The sequence below is a fragment of the Homo sapiens genome, chromosome 9 (assembly GCF_000001405.40).
Source record: "Homo sapiens chromosome 9, GRCh38.p14 Primary Assembly".
Lineage (NCBI taxonomy): Eukaryota > Metazoa > Chordata > Mammalia > Primates > Hominidae > Homo > Homo sapiens.
This window is the reverse complement of record NC_000009.12, coordinates 98976753-98994825: the sequence shown is the minus strand read 5'-3', so window position 1 is coordinate 98994825 and position 18073 is coordinate 98976753. Positions and strand designations below refer to the sequence as shown.

The following is an 18073-nucleotide window of genomic DNA, read 5'->3' as shown; positions in this document are numbered from 1 at the left end:
GTTTTCAGAGGTCAATGTGAATGGGGATCCAGTGTGGCCTGTGACAAAATAGGAACCTCAAGTCTGAAGACTTGCTATTAAAAGTGTTGCAATTTGCTGAGTCCAGGCTCACGTCCACACAATCAGATTTACTCATTCTGCACATATTTCCAGAGGCCCTACCGTGTGCTAGGTCCTTGGCTGAGCCCTGGGGACACAGAAATGAATAACTAAGACAGCGTGTCTGTCCTCAAGCTGTCAGGTGATGGAGGATCCCCAGACCTAGACCAGACGCAACAAACCATGATTCGGAGTGATGCATGGGATGGCGTGAGTGAGAGCCAAGTGCGAGGAGGGGGCTTAGCTAAATAATGGCCTCCAAGGAGAGGATGTGGACTGGATCCTGAAGGCTAAGTAGGAACTTGCCAGGCAGAAATGGGAGCTGGGAGGGGCCCTCCAGGCAAACAGAACCGCAGGAACTAAGGCGCCATGGAGGGGAGAAAGTGCTCGGTCTGTCCAGAGAACTGTGAGCATCTGGGTGTGGTTGGGAAAGAGGCCCTGGCTGAGGACCAGAATCACCTGCAGAGCTTTTTGTCAATACAGATTCTAGGATCTTTCACTCCAGATCTACTGAAGCTGAACATCCAGGTCTACAGCCCAGGCAAGAATCTGCTTTTAAAGACCAATCCCCCCAACACAGTGCCTCCCCAACCCCCCATGCCACCCCCACCCCCAACACACACTTACACACAAATGACCCTGATGCACAGCCAGGGCTGAGAACCACAGGGATGTTAATTCCAACAGCATAGAACTTTCTGAAAATGCAAAGAATTGGATAGCAAGGACCCCAATCCTAAATGGGGAAGAAGGCAAGGAGGGGCAGACTTTGTAGTCCCTGACCACTCAGAAAGTCTGCAATTCAGTTCACTGGCGACGGCTCATGTCTCAAAGGGTGGCAGGCTGGAAAGGCTGAGGATGGGGAAGTGAGATTCATTCCAAGAAAGAAGTTAGACAGACAAGGGGCGGGCGGGGACTGTCTGAGCTGAAGAGGGAAATTCCCCGTCCTAGAGGGTGGCTGCCGGAAAATGCCATAAAGCCCTTCCAGGAGATGTTAAAAGGGGGAAGTCCCCAGCTCAGGGGTGGCATGACTGAGTGCACTCTGGACCCTGAGCTGGAGACCTGGCTCTGCCACCTCCAGGCTGGGTGCCTCCAGCAACCATCTCCATGGCCTCAGTGCCCTCCTATGTAGAAGAGACCCCAAACACCTCCCTGCAAATGAGACTAAAGGAAATGGAAGCATGTGGAAGAGCGTGAACTGTGGTGCAGACAGACGGGTGCACAGGGAAGGCATTCTGATGATCAGGAACAGACAGGTTAAGGTCAGGACCATCAGGCCTCGAGGCACAGCCCAGGGCAATCCCCTTAATAACTGAAGGCAGCCACAGGGGTTTGGCATGCCTGTCAGCCCAAGCCACTGGCCAACCAGGAGGCCCCAAGAGGAACGAGGCATCTGTACTATGCCCGGTGCTGAGTCCAGCACTGAGCTGCTCTCTGACACATCACATCACCTCCCTTAATCCTCACAACAAACCCACTGGTCAACAGTAGCAACAACAGGCACTGTCCAAGCATTTTGCACAGGGCAATTTGTCTAATTTTCACACTGACCCTATGAGGCAGGTCCACTCTATTGTAACCAAGGAGGAAACTGAGCCTTGGAGAGCTTAAGTCACTTGCTCAAGGTCAAGAGCTAGTAAGTGGCAGAGCTGGGATTCACGCTTGGTGGAACTCTGATATGCACCAGTTCCCATAAAACCACTGAGAAAAGTTGGGTTGGGGAAGCATGGAAAGAAAGTGTTAGAGGTTCCCCAGAGGCCACCAAGTCCATCAAATCACCAACAACTTTTTCTTTTTCACTTTTCCAGATAGTCTGGGGATTGATTTCATAGCCCCCCTTGGCTGACACGTGCCCCACATCTGCCCCAGTGCCTGCAGTGCCATGGTCCTGGGGAGGGTCCAAGCCTGGGGAGTGAGGCCTGGCTTGAGTCCTGACTTCACTACCCTGTGACCCTGGAAGAGGCACCCCACCTCCTGGGCATTCATTTTTGAATCTGCACAATGGGGCTGATGCCACCTACCTTGCAGGGTGGCAAGAAACAAAAGTGAAATCATGCATACAATAGCGAGAATTGACAACGTGCTGGCGGCCCTCGCTCGCCCTCAGTGCCTCCTCGGCCTTGGCGTCCACTCTGGCCACACCTGAGGAGCCCTTCAGCCCACCACTGCACTGTGGGAGCCCCTCTCTGGGTTGGCAGAGGCTGAAGCCGGCTCCCTCTGCTTGTGGGGAGGTGTGGAGAGAGACGTGTGGGCAGGAACCAGGGCTGCGTGCAGCGCTTGCGGGCCAGTGAGAGTTCCAAGTAGGCGTGGGCTCGGCGGGCCCCGCACTCTAAGCGGCCAGCCGGTGCCACCGACCCTGGGCAGTGAGGGGCTTAGCACCCAGGCCAGCAGCTGCAGAGGGTGTGCCGGGTCCCCCAGCACTGCCGACCGGCCCGCACTGCTCTCGAATTCTCACTGGGCCTCAGCCGCCTTCCCGCAGGGCAGGGCTTGGGACCTGCAGCCTGCCATGCCCGAGCCCCCTGGCAGTGGGCTCCCACATGGCCCAAGCCTCCCTGACGGGGACCGCCCCCTGCTCTGCGGCGGCTGTTCCCATCGACCATCCAAGGGCTGAGGAGGCAGCGTGGGACTGGCAGGCCGCTCCACCTGCTGCCCTCGTGCGGGATCCACTAGGCGAAGCCAGCTGGACTCCTGAGTTGGGTGGGGACTTGGAGAACTTTTATGTCTAGCTAAAGGATTGTAAACACACCAATCAGCACCCTGTGTCTAGCTCAAGGTTTGTAAATGCACCAATCAGTGCTCTGTGTCTAGCTAATCTAGTGGGGACTTGGAGAACTTTTATGTCTAGCTAAAGGATTGTAAATACACCAATCAGCACTCTTGTGTCTAGCTCAAGGTTTGTAAACACACCAATCAACACTCTGTGTCTAGCTCAAGGTTTGTAAACACACCAATCAACACTCTGTGTCTAGCTCAAGGTTTGTAAACGCACCAATTAGTTCTCTGTGTCTAGCTAATCTAGTGGGGACTTGGAGAACTTTTATGTCTAGCTAGAGGATTGTAAATGCATCAATCGGCACTCTGTATCTAGCTCAAGGTTTGTAAACGCACCAATTAGTGCTCTGTGTCTAGCTAATCTAGTGGGGACTTGGAGAACTTTTATGTCTAGCTAGAGGATTATAAATGCACCAATCAGCACTCTGTATCTAGCTCAAGGTTTGTAAATGCACCAATCAGTGCTCTGTGTCTAGCTAATCTAGTGGGGACTTGGAGAACTTTTGTGTCTAGCTAGAGGATTGTAAATGCACCAATCAGCACTCTGTGTCTAGCTCAGGGATTGTAAACGCACCAATGAGCACCCTGTCAAAATGGACCAATCAGCTCTCTGTAAAACGGACCAATCAGCTCTCTGTAAAGTGGACCAATTAGCTCTCTGTAAAATGGGCCAATCAGCAGGATGTGGGGGGGGGTCAGATAAGGGAACAAAAGCAGGCTGCCTGAGTGAGCAGCGGCAACTTGGTGAGGTCCTTTTCCCATTGTGGAAGCTTTGTTCTTTTGCTCTTTGCAATAAATATCGCTGTTAGTGTCTTTGGGTCCGCACTGACTTTATGAGCTGTAACACTCATGGGGTGGGTCTGCAGCTTCACTCCTGAGGCCAGCAAGACCATGAACCCACCGGGAGGAACAAACAACTCCAGAGGCACTGCCCTAAGAGTTGTAACACTCACCGCGAAGGTCTGCAGCTTTACTCTTGAAGACAGCGAGACCAGGAACCCACCAGAAGGAAGAAACTCTGAACACATCCAAATATCAGAAGGAACAAACTCCAGACACACTACCTTTAAGAACTGTAACACTCACCGCGAGGGTCCGTGGTTTCATTCTTGAAGTCGGTGAGACCAAGAACCCACCAATTCCAGACACAATAGCACCAGGTACACAGTGGTATCAAGAAATGCCAGTTCTCTTCCTTCCCCTCCCACTTCTCTATCTCTGTCCAAAGCTGCCCAGCTCTGGTGCCCCCTCCCAAGCTTCTCTGCCCTACTTCTGTCCCCTGTGATCATCTCAGGCTCAAACTCCACTCTCCTTTCCTGTCCCTCTCTAAGGGCAACCTTGGGCTGTTGGCACCTTTGCCTGAGTTGGCTTCGCTGTGAATTGTGAACTGGTGCACAGGGCAGCATCAGATGTGAAGGCCACTCTGTGTCCTACTGCCCCAGGTTGGGACATGCCTGTGGGATGGCCAAGGGCTGATGGGCACACAGGATAGCCACACCACCCAAAGCAGTTGCCCTCCCCAATCACCAGGTAGGCAGGCAACTTGGACCCTTGACTTCATTCATCCCAACTGGCCAAGAGTTGGCCGCCATCCTTGGGATGGACTTTTGCAATACCACTCAGGCCATGACCCCATGGATGGGCATCAGGAGACTCATGCTGTTACCCCAGTCCGGCCCATACACCCTTCAGTCAGTGTCTTCCCCTATCTGGGCCTTGGTTTGCTCAGTTTGTACACAAAGGGCAGTTTTCCGTACACCTCTGTACAGAAAGAGATGTACAGGACTTTGGGTCCTTCCAGTGCTAACAGAGTCTAGTTCTATTCTGCTGCATCCACAGCTCTGCTGCATGCACAGCCCTGCTGCCCAAGGTCTGTAATCTCCAGCCACTGCCTAATTTCCATCTCCCTGATTTCTTCTATTAGAGATACGTTTACAAAGTAGCCTGACCAGGCAAGGAGACGGCTGAAGCTCTGCTGTATTTAGTGACTCTGCTGCTGCTTGCTGTTTTCATTAAAAACAGGCTCCTGGGTGTCCCCACAGTCTGACTCAGTGCTTTCAAAACCACTTCCATGTCTCAGCCACAGGGAGCATTCCCAGGAGGGAGGAGGTCCAGGCCACTGGAAGTTAGGATTGCCTTTCCCATGCGTCAGAAGTGAGCTCCCTGGAGGACTCTGTGACTCACAAGACTGGGGTCCTGACTGTGCTTTCACAGCTGGAGCACTGAGCAAATATAACAAGAGCCATCGTTCAGGGCCATTTCCCTCATGCCAGATGCTGGGCTGAGGCTTGTCCCTGCACTTCATCATCTAACCCTGGAAACAACCCTATGAGATAGGGCTATTAGAATCACCATTCTTGGAAGAGGAGTTGAGGTTCAGAATGGTTGAGTAAGTTACCTAAGGCCACAGGCTTTTTACCCAAGGCTCCAAAGCAATACAGCACAGCGTTTGCCCTTGACAGCCCTCTGATGGCCACACACAGGGTGGCACTGAGGAAGCTGGTGTTGCGGTTCACCAGGGGATTTTGCAAAGTGCCCATTGGCCATTATTTTCCTGACCCCCCCAGATGAGTCAACGATTAAGCTCACAGGTCTGGAAACAAAGAGGTCAGACCCAGGACTCTGGGCCCCCTCTAGTAATTCTCAGCCTGCTAAAAGCTGAGCAAGATCACATGGCACAGCATCCCAGTACTCACCGAGGCTTGAGTGTAGGTGACGGCTTCTAAGATCTCAGCTACTCCGTCTGCCTCCTGCAGCCCACTGGTCTCTCCAGATGCCTGTGTGGAGACAAACTGTGCCACACACCGGGCAGAGCGGGCAGGGCCCATAAGAGTTGGATGACTGGGAAAGTTACAGAAACTGACAAACCGACTCTCCTACAGGGAAACCGTGTGTGTGTGTGTGTGTGTGTGTGTGTGTGTGTGTGTGTGTCTATGAGAGACGGAGTGGGGTTAAGGAGACAGCGTGTGTGCAGTGTGCATGGTTGGTTATTTGTTTTATTTATTTATTTTTATTTTTTTATTTTTTTGAGACAGGTTCTCTCTTACTCTGTCACCCATGCTGGAGTGCAGTGGTGCGATCTCAGCTCACTGCAAACTCTGCCTCCTGGGTTCAAACGATTCTCCTGCCGCAGCCTCACGAGTAGCTGGGATTACAAGCACACGCCACCACGCCGGGCTAATTTTTGTATTTTTTGTAGAGATGGGGTTTCACCATGTTGGCCAGGCTGGTCTCCAACTCCTGACCGCAAGTGATCCACCCACCTCGGCCTCCCAAAGTGCTGGGATTACAGGCGTGAGCTACTGCGCCCAGCCTGGTTGTTCATTTTATTTCTTTCCACATTTTATTGCTCTAACAGAATACACAATGATTTCTCACTCTCTCTAACATATCTACTTTCATTCGATCCAGGTCCCCACCACTCTCCCAACCTTTGTGAGGCTGTCATTGGAATCTTGCGCTGGGAACAATTACAGCCGAAGCATGACTTCCTGGCATTACCTAATCTTTCTAATTAGCCTCCTAAAGGCAGACAAGGAGCCCGAGTGCTGTGATTTTGTAACCAATCCCTTGTTCTTGGACCCTTGGGTTGTTTCTACTTTTTCAGTATTAATGGCAATGCAGAGACTAACGCGTGACTACACTGATCAGCATCACATGACTGTCAGGCTGGGACCACTGGCTCATGGAACACAGGCATTCTCACAGGCCCAAATTCCACCTCTCAGGGGCTTTCCAACGAAATCGACAGCATTTTGTTTTTTACAAAGTTAACAAAATCAATTTATGTTCTGTTGTGACGTTGATGCCACCCAAAAGGCAACAGGAATTGCAGGAATGCGCTACCTTCTGCTCACCTCTGACTGCATCCTGGACCCCTTCTCCCTGGGAGGCCTCACCCTTGTCATTGGTCAGGCATCACCTGCTCCCTAACTGGCTTCAAGTTCCTCCTCTTTCCTCTCCTGCTCCCACCTGACAACGTTGAGTTTGGGTTTGAGGATCTCCCCCTTTTCCCATCACACTCAGCTCTGCCACTGTATTTGGGTATGGAAGTGCATATGAGCAGCTTATTAAACAGTTCCCAGTTATTCCTTTATCTCCAGCACCTACCCAGGGCTGGCACCCAGCAGGTGCTCAGTCAATCCTTAGAGGGAGGGAAGAAGGAGTCATCTTTTTTTTCCTGCCCACCACTCCATCCCCAGCTTAGGAACGAACTCATTTGCCAAGCATAAAAGCTAAGTTGAGGATCGTTTTTTATAGGAATTTACTCCCAGAATATCTCAGTTTTAACTTTGATTTTAGAATCTTGACACCATTTCTTGGCAAGAAGGCGGGAAAGCAGGCCATTGACGGCCACAGCCATGGAAGATCCTGACACCTTATAAGAAACACAGCTCCCCACACCAGAGATGGCTGATGCTCTTTAAAAAGTGAAATCACGCCAAAAGCCCAAAATAGGACTTGAGGCAGCAGTTGCCAAAATGAGAGGTTTCAGAAACTCCACGCCACTGTCTGGGCATCCAGCCCTCCCCAGGCTGCGGCTGCTGGGGTTGCAGGGCCCACTGTGGGATAGTAGGGGAGCTCACCGAGGACTCTTCAGGGTCACACAGCTCCTCGGGAGTCCTGGGGTCGGGGTGCACGGTGAGCTGCTGGAGGGAGCCCTGGGGAAAAGAGACGGATCAGAAGCCACGGTTTGCACGTACACAGCATGACTGCCAGTGGAAGACATGATTGTTTTGGCAATGGAGACGAACAGGTAAAAGCGTGGGAATGAGGATGTACAGCCTGCAGTCTCAACCACGAAGCCAGGCCACCTCTTGGCCCACTCTCAGTTATGGGGGGACTCTCCTTGGGCCAGTATCATACTGACCCCTGGGCCAGAGAGGCCCTTGGGGAGCATTGTGTTCAAGTGTGCACACCACAGCAGCCTCCTGTCTCCAGGTCCCCAGCTTGTCAGCGGCAGGCCCTGAAACGCACATCTCCCTCTCCCAGAAAGCTCTTTCCCCTGCAGCTCAATGCTTCTGAGTTTGAAGGCCTCGTCCCAAGAAGGGCTACCACAGCCTCCCTGCCTCCACTCTCCTCCCCTCTCCCCACACCTGACAGCTTCCTCTCCATGAGGCTCCTAAAGTGAGCATTTAAAAATTGCCCTTTGTGTTTTAACTTCTTAACATTCTCCAATGTCTTTCACTCTACTCCAGATAAACCCAAACTCCACCCCGTGGTGCTGTCCTGTTCACCAACGAGACATCAGTAAATACGTGTGCTGACTAAATGAGTAACTACAATAACTTAGTGATCTTTAGAATGCCTTATTCATAAAAGCCCATTTTGATAGTAAAGTCAGTTTAAATTTTTTTTAAGTGCACATTGCCTAGAAGGCGGGAAAAGCTACCTCTCACTCTGGTATTCTAGTGTATCCCACCTTTTCAGAAATTACTTACGTGCAATTGTCACCCATATCCAAAGATCAAACCATTTAGGGCTATAACAAACCTTGCTCTTTTATATAAAATCTTAAAACGTACAAAGTGCTTTCACACAGATTATCTTATTTGACCTACAAGACTGTGGGGTAGGTTTTCTTATCTCCACTTACAGATAAGGAAACACAGAGAGGATCAGAGAATCTGGATAACTGTCTCAAATTTACAAGGTAAGTTGAAAACTGAGGATGGAAATCTAGGTTTTGGGGTTCCAGGCCTAGTGTTATTTCCCATCATAACACGCATGCTTCTTTGAGGACATAAGAATAAAATAATAACAATAATAGTTGCTCCATTTATTGCATGGCGAGTCTGTTCATCCACCTCCCTGATCTACCTGGAGTGGGACTTTAACTCACAGTGAATCTCTCGAGCCCTGTAGCTCCTGCATTGCCCATGAAGATTCCAGCGCTGGACTCAAAAGCCAAAGCCTGGGAGGACCGCTGGAAGGGGATGCGGCTGTGCTCCTCACAGTTCACGAGGAGGGTCACTTCCTCACCCTGGACAATCATGGCGAAGCGGTTCCACCTGTGGGTCATCACAGGCACCGAGAAGGCAGCAGCCTCTTGGGACACATGGGAGCCTGGCTCCGTGTAGTAGAGGATGATCCGCTGGTGGCCGTCCTCCACACCTGAGAGCCGCAGGCCCAGGTAGATGACCTTCTGGAAGGCGTCAGTGATGGCGAAGAGCACGCCACCACGGGTGCTGCTGGGCTTCACCACGACGCTGATGGCGAAGTCCCTGAAGAAGGTGGATGGGATGAGAGTCCTGGCTGGGCGGCCAACATTGGCACCAGGCCCGAAACTGTAGGCCGGGAAGCCACCATAGCCTGTGACAAAGGATACGGACGAGGGCAGCGGGACACCGATGAGCTGCGTGAGGTCCAGGTGACCCTGGGAAGCAGTCTCTGCAGGGAGGGAGAGAGAGGCCACGCTTTACAGGTATATTCCACTTTGCTTGAAAATGAGGAAGAAACGCAGTCACAAATGAAACGGGATCACTCAGGAACCCCACTGAAACTGTAGTTCCTAAATGGTTGTTTTTCAAACGTTTTGACAACGACCCACAAAAAGAAATGCATTTGCACTGCAACCCAATATACACACGTGTAGACAGATATCTGTAACACTGAAACAGAAGTTTCATAGAACATGATTTAATACTCACCAGGCACTCAAATATTTTTCTTTTCATTTAATTATTCTTTTTCTGCTTCATTTTATTAAAAACATGCTGGTAATTAATTACTAAATTGATTTTATAACCCACTAATAGTTCATGACCTGCGTTTGGAAAACACTTATGAGTAATCCCTAGAATATATAATGTTCACCCATCGACTTGGAGATTTTTTTTTTCCCCACTATAAAACTGAATAGGGGCCAGGTATGGTGGCTCACGCCTAAAATCCCAGCATTTTGGGAGGCCCAGGTGGGTGGATCACTTGAGGTCAGGAGTTCGAGGATAACATGGCCAACATGGTGAAACCTCGTCTCTACTAAAAATACAAAAATTATCCAGGCATGCTGGCACATGCCTGCAATCTCAGCTACTTGGGAGACTGAGGCAGCAGAATCACTTGAACCCCGGAGGTGGTGGTTGCAGTGAGCTGAGATCGCACCACAGCACTCCAGCCTCAGTGACAGAGGGAGAGTCCATCTCAAAAAAACAAAAACAAAAAAACTGGATAGGTTTGTTTTGTTTTGAATGAGGTCTATTGTTTAAGTGCCTCTGAGTGTGCAGGGAAAATCAGGGACACAGTGAAGTGTTCCCAGGCCTCAAGGCAATTGAAATTTGCGTCATTGTCATCGCCTTTGACATCACCGCCATCATCATCCACATTCCCTAAGCTCTGTCTGCACCAGGCCCTGCTCTAAGCGCTCTGCATACATTAGCTCATGTAATCCTCACAACAAACCTATGAGGTTAGGTACTCTTATCCCCATCTTACTTCTGAGAAAACTGAGGCTTAGAGAAATTAACAAATTTGCTCAAGGTAAGTTGCATGCAGGTTTCAAACCCAGAGCATCTGACCCCAGAGGCTATGCCACCACACCTTGCAGGGAGAAATGGTGGAGCTCCATTATGGTGTCCTGAAAAGGCCCCCAGGCTCCAGAATGTTGGCCCATCCAAGTATTTTCCCCAGGAGAAAGCTGCAGACTAGCTTGCAGCAACATGCACCCACTTCTGAGTTGACATCCAAGGTACCAGTAGTGAGACAGGAAGGCAAGTCCCAGGGAGAGGGGGACAAGACCACTGTAGCCAGGACAATGGACAAGTAACACCCTTTGGCCTTGGAAGTGAAGCCGGATCCTGAGGATTCAACCAGATGAGGAGGCCTGGAATGAGTGAGGATCAGAATCGAGCAGTGTCCTCCTCTGGAGGCCAGAGGGCAAGGCAGACTGATTGATGGCTGTCTGGGCTATCGCCAAAGGCCAGAGGCCACTGAGAACCTAAGTGGTTTCTGAGGACTTGGCGGGTTTGTCTCCAGAGAAAACCCCAAACACTCGAGAGACCCTCTAAGGAAAGCCCTACCTGAGGAATCAGCCTGATTTCCAGTTTACCCAACTTGCCACCATCTTATTGGACACAACTACGTAGCTGTGTGAACTCCAGTGAGTCACTGAACCACTCCAAGTCTGAGTGTCTTCCTCTATCATACAGGCACTAGAATGGGCTCCAAAAGAATGACTAAATGAGACCGTCCACGGAAACCCCTGGTTAATAATGGTAGCAGTGCAACAAACATTCGCTATTCTTTATTTTTATTATATCCACTGAACAATCTCAAGAGGTCAATGCGCAGGGATAATCACGCCTGCAGCACTGACCAGGAAAGTGAGGCTGACATGGGAGCCTGCCTCTGTGCCCTTGAGCTCCCTTATAAAGAATAATAACAATGTGGTTTTCATGCATAGTTTTACTCAGTCCTCACAGCAGCCCTGGCAATTAACTGCTCTTATCCCTTGGGAAGATGAGATGACTGGCCCGAGGTTATGCAGCTGGTAAGTGGCAGGACATTTTCGAGCCATGGCTGGTGTGATTTCTGGCTGATTCACTGCTGCAGCCTCACTGAGATGGGGGAGTCTGTACCGGGGTTGCGGGTGGGGCTCCACCTAGTCTGCCTACTATATCAATGACCCTTCAGCAGCAAGAAGGATGGAGTCAAGACTCCAGGTGGTCCAGGAACTCAAACTTCCCATGAATGGGTATGTATACTTAGTGGCTGGGAGAGGGAGATGCCCTGACTGCCATGCCCCCATCTCAACTCCGCAACACTCACAGAGAAGGCTGCTCACCGCCAGTACTAACCTCAATTATTATGGAATATCTAGGTTACACAAAAAAATACAGTATAAAGAACAATATGAGACACTTGGTTGTTAAATGGTTAAAATACCAAATTTTATGCTATGTATGCTTAACCACAATTTTAAAAAAAGCGAGTAATTAGCCTATAGCGTTGTTGTGAGGATTAAAGGACATAATACAAAGTGCTGGCACATGCCAAATGCCTAAAAAGTGGTGGATATCATGGCTGGACACACTGTGGCTCACAACTGTAATCCCAACACTTTGGGAGGCCAAGGAGTGCAGATCACTTGAGCCCAGGAGTTCAAGGCCAGCCTGGGCAACATAGTGAGACCTCATCTCCACAAAACAACAAAAAAGCCAGGTGGTGTGCACCTGTAGTCCCCGCTACCCAGGAGGTTGAGGTGGCAGGATTGCTTGAGCCCAGGTGATCAAGGCTGCAGTGAGCCATGATCATGCCACTGCACTCCAGCCTGGGTGACAGAGCGAGACCCTGTCTAAAAAAAAAAAGAAAAAAGGCAGCCATCATCATCATCATCATCGTCATCACTGTCATCTAGACTTGCTGGTTTAGAAAAGAACCGCAGAGGTCACCTGACACAACTCTATCTGTTGATAAAGTTGTATCAGGTTGTAACTGGTGACCTCTAAGTTTCTATCGTACCAGACCCTGCCCTGTCTGATTTGATAACCAGTAGCCACATATGGCTATTGAGCACTTGAAAAATGGGTCTTCCCAACTGAGATGTGTCATAAATGTAAACTACAAACTAAATTTCAAAGACTTTGCTTGGAAAAATATCTCAATACTATTTATATTGATTATATGTTGAAATCATTTTGAAAAACAATGGATAAATAAAATACATTATACATTAATGGGTGTGGTCATGTGTGCCTGTAGTCCCAGCTATTCGGGAGGCTGAGGTGATAGAATCACTTGAACCCAAGAGTTTGAGGCTGCAATGAAATACGATCATGCCACTGCACTTCAGCCTGGGCAACAAAGAAATACCCTATCTCTCTCTATATATATCATTTTTTAAAATTTTAAAATAGGGCCTGGTATGGTGGCTCATGCCTGTAATTCCAGTGTTTTAGGAGGCCAAGGTAGGAAAATTGCTTGAGGCCAGGAGTTTGAGACCAGCCTGGGCAACACAGAGAGACCATCTCTACAAAAAATTTAAAAATTAGCAGAATGTGGTAGTGCGTGCCTGTAATCTACTACTCTGGAAGTTGGGCCAGGAGGATCACTTGCGCCTAGGAGTTTGAGGCTACAGTGAGCTATGATCACCCCACTGCACTCCAGCCTGGGTGGCAGAGTGAGACCTGTCTCTAAAAAAAATAATTATAATATTATGAGGAACAAGTATGTGCCCACCACTCCACGTAAGAAAGACAGTATCAATTCAGCTGAAGCTCCCATGAACTCTCTTCAGTCCTTTTCCTCTGCCCATGCTCTGGCAGGAGCCATTCTTGTGAATTTGGTGTTTATCACTCCCACGCATTTGTATGTCCACTCGATACGTGTTTCTAACAGAATGTAGAACCATGGTGTGTGTTCTACACCTCATATAAATGGTGGCATGATGCACACATTCTTCTGAAACTTGCTTTTATTTTTCACTCAGCATTGTATTTTTTAGATTTATCCCTGTTGATACATGTGGCTCTGATCTTATATTTTCTTTTCTTTTTTTTTGAGACAGAGTCTCGCTCTTGTTGACCAGGCTGGAGTGCAGTGGCACAATCTCGGCTCACTGCACCCTCTGACTCCTGGGTTCAAGCGATTCTCTTGCCTCAGCCTCCTGAGTAGCTGGGATTCAGGTGCCCACCACCATGCCTGGCTAATTTTTGTACTTTTAGTAGAGACGGGGTTTCGCCATGTTGGCCAGGCTAGTCTCGAACTCCTGACCTCAGGTGATCCGCCCACCTTGACCTCCCAAAGTGCTGGGATTACAGGCGTGAATGAGCCACCGCGCCTGGCCTGGCCTTATATTTTCACAACAGTACTCTATGGTATAAATAAGCTACAATGGGTTGATTCACATTTCTGTTGGTGGAAGGTGAGGTTTCCATCAATATTACAAATGATACTGCCACGGACTCCCTTATACACATCTCCTCCTGCTTACCTGTGCAGGTAATTCCACAGCTGGAAGTGGAATTATTGGATAATATGGGTATGTGCACCTACAGCTTCCCTGAATATTGCAAAATTGTTCTCTGAAGCAACCGTGTCATGCATGTCGCAGACCCACCAGCAGCATATTCTTGCCAACATTTAGGGGAGGCAGAGAGATGCAATTTGGGAGAGGTCCACGGGGCTTTTCAACGGTAGTGATAGTGTTAATTGTTCAGGTGGTATTCAAAAGAAATATTCATTGTATTTTTCTTTATAGCAAATTTCATGGAAAATATTTCATACAATTTTTATGAAAACGATTAACCCCTCCTCGACAAAAGAGCACATCTGATCCTGTTGCTATCCTGCTTAGAAGCCTTCTATGAAATAGGATTTTTCATGGCCCTCAGGGCCAGGGCTGACCAGGCTGCTGCCACCTGGCTCAAGAGGCCCTCTGTGGTCAGGACCCAGCTGCACTCCCTACTCCCTGACATGCCTGACACAGCCCCAGCGTGCCCCATGCTGTCCCAGGGACTCCCACCCCTGCCAGGAATGCTTTCCTCTGTGCCATCTGCCCCAGCCCAGCCCAGTTATTTTCACTGAATGACTCCTGCTCATCAGCCCAGGCCTCGCTTCCCCTGAAATCTCGCTTCACCTCCCGCACCCACACCCTCCCCTCTGGGGGCTGCATTAGAAGTCCTCTCTGTACACACGGGGTCCTCCATCATAGCCCCTGCATGTCACTATTGGGTCACTTGCCTCTCTTCCCACTGGGCCATCTGTCTTCCCAGTAACCAACCCAGGGCTTATAGTGAATGAATGAACAAATGAATGAATGTGTACATATTCTCAAGTCCCCTCTTTTTTTTTTTTTGAGACAAGAGTCTTGCTCTGTTGCCCAGGTGGGAATGCAGTGGCATGATCACAGCTCACTGCAGCCTCCACCTCCCAGGCTTAAATGACCCTTCCACCTCTCAGCCTCCCAAATGTCTGGGGCTACAGGCATGCAGCATCACACTCAGCTAATTTTTTCATTTTTTTGTAGAGACAGGGTCTCGCTATATTGCCTACGTTGGTCTCGAGCTCCTGGAATCAGTGATTCTCCTGCCTCGGCCTCCCAAAATGCTGGGATTACAGGTGTGAGCCCCTGCGCTCAGCCTCCAATCACCTCATTTTAGAAAACACTAAACTAAGGTTAATAGAGAGGAAGTGTTTGCTGGCCATGAACTCAGATTTGATTCTCAATTGAATGCTTATCCTCTCCAGTTTACAACTTGCTTTAAAACAGAAATTAATTTTAGTTAAAAGATTGGTAAATTTGGTTAAATTTGACCACTTAGAAAAAAATGTTCTGCATAGAACTAATAAATAATAATAATAATAATAAAGATAATCCCTGCAATGTCAAAGAAAACCCCAAAACCATGAAATGACTGATATTTGCTACAAAAATCACAGCAACAAACTCATTTCTCTAATATGCAAAGTAAATGAATACCCAAAAGAAAAATGGGCAAAGAATAGAAAATTCTAGACACAGTAAAAGAAATTAAAATCTTAAACATATGAAAAATACTCAACCTCATTCATAATGATAGAATGAGTTAAGATTACGAAGGGATACCATTTTCCCTATCAGATTGGCAAAGACCAGAATACGCTGTGTTGGCAAGGGTTTAAGGCAGCAGGCCTTCTCCTGCGTTACTGGCAGGAGCATAAATTGTTATAACGTGGTGGGAGGCAATTTAATAACATTTATCAAAATGGCAAATGTGCATGTACTTGTTGACCCAGCAGTCATACGTCTATGAATTTTTTAACAGATAAAGTTACATATGTGAAATATAAAGTACATACACAAATATTCACAGCATCGTGGTTTAAATTTACCTAAAATTCCCATCTTTGGGAATGATTAATATAATAAATGATGACAGGTTCACACAACGAAATCCAAGGCAGCGTTTCAAAAGATGTGATTCCTTAAGTACTAATATGAAACAATCAAGATGTACTATATAAAAACAGACAAAATAAGGTGCAGAAGTGAATTGCTATCAGTTGGAAATGTATGTACTAATACAAATTAAATATACCATATATATTTAAATATATATGGTATATTACAATAGCTCTAGAAGAATACACAAGAAACGGGGCAGTGGTTGTCTCCAGGGAAGGAAGCTGGTGGCTGGGGGCTGGGAGACTTGCTTTTCACTGGATATCTTTTTATACTTTTTTCTATTTTACAGCATATACATGGTATGAAAAGTAAAGACATCTACATATTTTTAAAGAGATTATCTCCTTGCATCCACTTATAGAAATCATAAAACCTATTCTTCTTGCTTTTCCTCACTCAGATACAGCTTATCTTTGTACAGAAAGAAAGAAAAAAAGAAGGAAAAGAAACAAAGAAAACCACACATCCCACTGAGATTTCTTTTCTTTCCTCCACGGTTTAAAGACAAAAACAAAACAAAACCACAAACACCCTACTGAGAGCTCTGCTTTCTTCTTCGCTTATCCAATCCAGTAAAAAGCTTTTCCTCTATTTCCTCTCTCTTTCCTGCTGGGAACAGGAGGGGGAAGCCTCTTTCTGCTCGGAAAATTCCTGGTGCCACAGAGAGTAAAAGCACCAGAGCTTCACATCCTGTGGCTTGTTTCCAAGTGGTGTCTCTGAGGGATCCAGGGCCAGGTTAAGCGTTCAGGCGACACAGGGAGAAGGGCCTGAGAGGCTCCCACTCAGAAAGCTCATTGCTTAAACCAGCCTAGTGCTTCCCATGGCCAGTAGATCCAGGCTTGCATGTGGCAATTCTGGGAATTCTTATGCCTAGGAGTCTGCTTAAAAACAAAAATTCATGAATCTATCCAACATCCTTGTTTTCTAGACAGGGAAATTGATGTTCAGGGAGACTTCCATGGCCAGGAGGCACAGCCAGGAAGCAACAGATGGGGCAGCCAAGCAAGGGTGGACAGAGTCTTGGTACCACGAGTCCCAGAGCTGGTGCCCTCCCACAGCCCCGACCACTCCAGGTCCTGGCCAATGGTTGGTCAGCTGGAGAGGGGGCAAAGGAGGCAGCCTGCAGTGGAGAACATCCTCTTCCTTGGACACAGCTGGGATGAGACCCCTCCTTTGCCCTTTACCAAACACAAAGCCTTTGGGCGATGACTTCCTGGTGATCAGGGGAGGTCCCTGCCCACTTCCCATGTGGGGATTCAATGAGACGACAGATGGGAAATGCAAGGTATAAGCTTAACAAAAACCAAAGTCTGCAAAAAAGATCCCTTCCTAACCCTCCCACCCTCCATCCCCCTAGACCTCAGCCATTCAAGACAGGACACATGGATAGGCGCTGGCCCGCAGGCCTTGTTTCCACAGAGTCCGCCAAGAGGGAGGCCAGCCATGAATGTAGAGCAAGCCCAAGTCAGCCCCAGCAGCCCAGCTCTGCTCTCAGCAACCCCCACCACATCCTTCCACATCCACTGTCCCATGGCATGGCGTGGTAGGGGACGACCCCTGACCTGGAGTGACCCATGCTCACTCGCGGCTGCGCCTGGGCCTGCTGGCTCATTTCCCTTTGGCCTCCAGCAGGAGGGCCACCTGTTTAGGCAGCCACCAGGGAGGGGAGGAGAAGCCAGGGAGCCAAGACAAACAGGCCCAGCAACTGGGTCCATGGGCTTGACCTTGGATGGCTCTGTGCTGGGCAAGAAGGGAGGAGGGTGGAGATCACAGCTGGTGGGAAGACATCCCACCATTTTGGAGGGGACTGGGGACTGGCGTGGAGCATGCTGATGGAACTCTGCAGCCTGAGGATTCTTGGAAGCGGCCCACACTTATCCCCAGATAATAATACTTCTCTCAGAGGACAGTTGTGTGACTTAAATAAAATAATATACCTAAAATGTTTAGCACACTGCTTAGCACACAGAGTGCTTAATAAATGGTAGCTGCCATTTCTTTCCCTATTATTATTACCCTGCTATTTCCCATGCAATTGTCATACTGGAAAACTCAAGGTATCCTGAATGGGTCCTACATTTTACACCCTTGAGCCTTTGTGTATGCTGTTCCCTCCACTTGAGGAACTGCTCCACACATCTCAGGGCCCAACTTCAATGTCATCACCTCCTCCATGAAGTCTTCTTGGATTCCCCCACCAGGTAGTCTGGGCATTCCCGCTCCTGCACTTGGCCCTGACTCTATGTAGCATATATGGCATTATATGACTAAGGTGTTGGACCCTACCATCTTGGAACCTCCTTAAGTGTAGGAACTGGC

General features: G+C 48.7%; 1 protein-coding gene across 1 annotated transcript in view; it reads right to left on the bottom strand.

Annotated features, from left to right (window-relative positions):
- The window catches only part of COL15A1 (collagen type XV alpha 1 chain), a 126881-nt gene that overhangs the window by 75962 nt on the left and 32846 nt on the right, over positions 1-18073 (bottom strand). Inside the window, exons 3-5 of the mRNA NM_001855.5 lie at positions 8714-9261; positions 7458-7532; positions 5568-5648 (exon numbers count right to left, since the gene is read on the bottom strand). Of these exons, the coding sequence (NP_001846.3) occupies positions 5568-5648; positions 7458-7532; positions 8714-9261 (704 nt within the window). The remainder of the gene's footprint in view (positions 1-5567; positions 5649-7457; positions 7533-8713; positions 9262-18073) is intronic.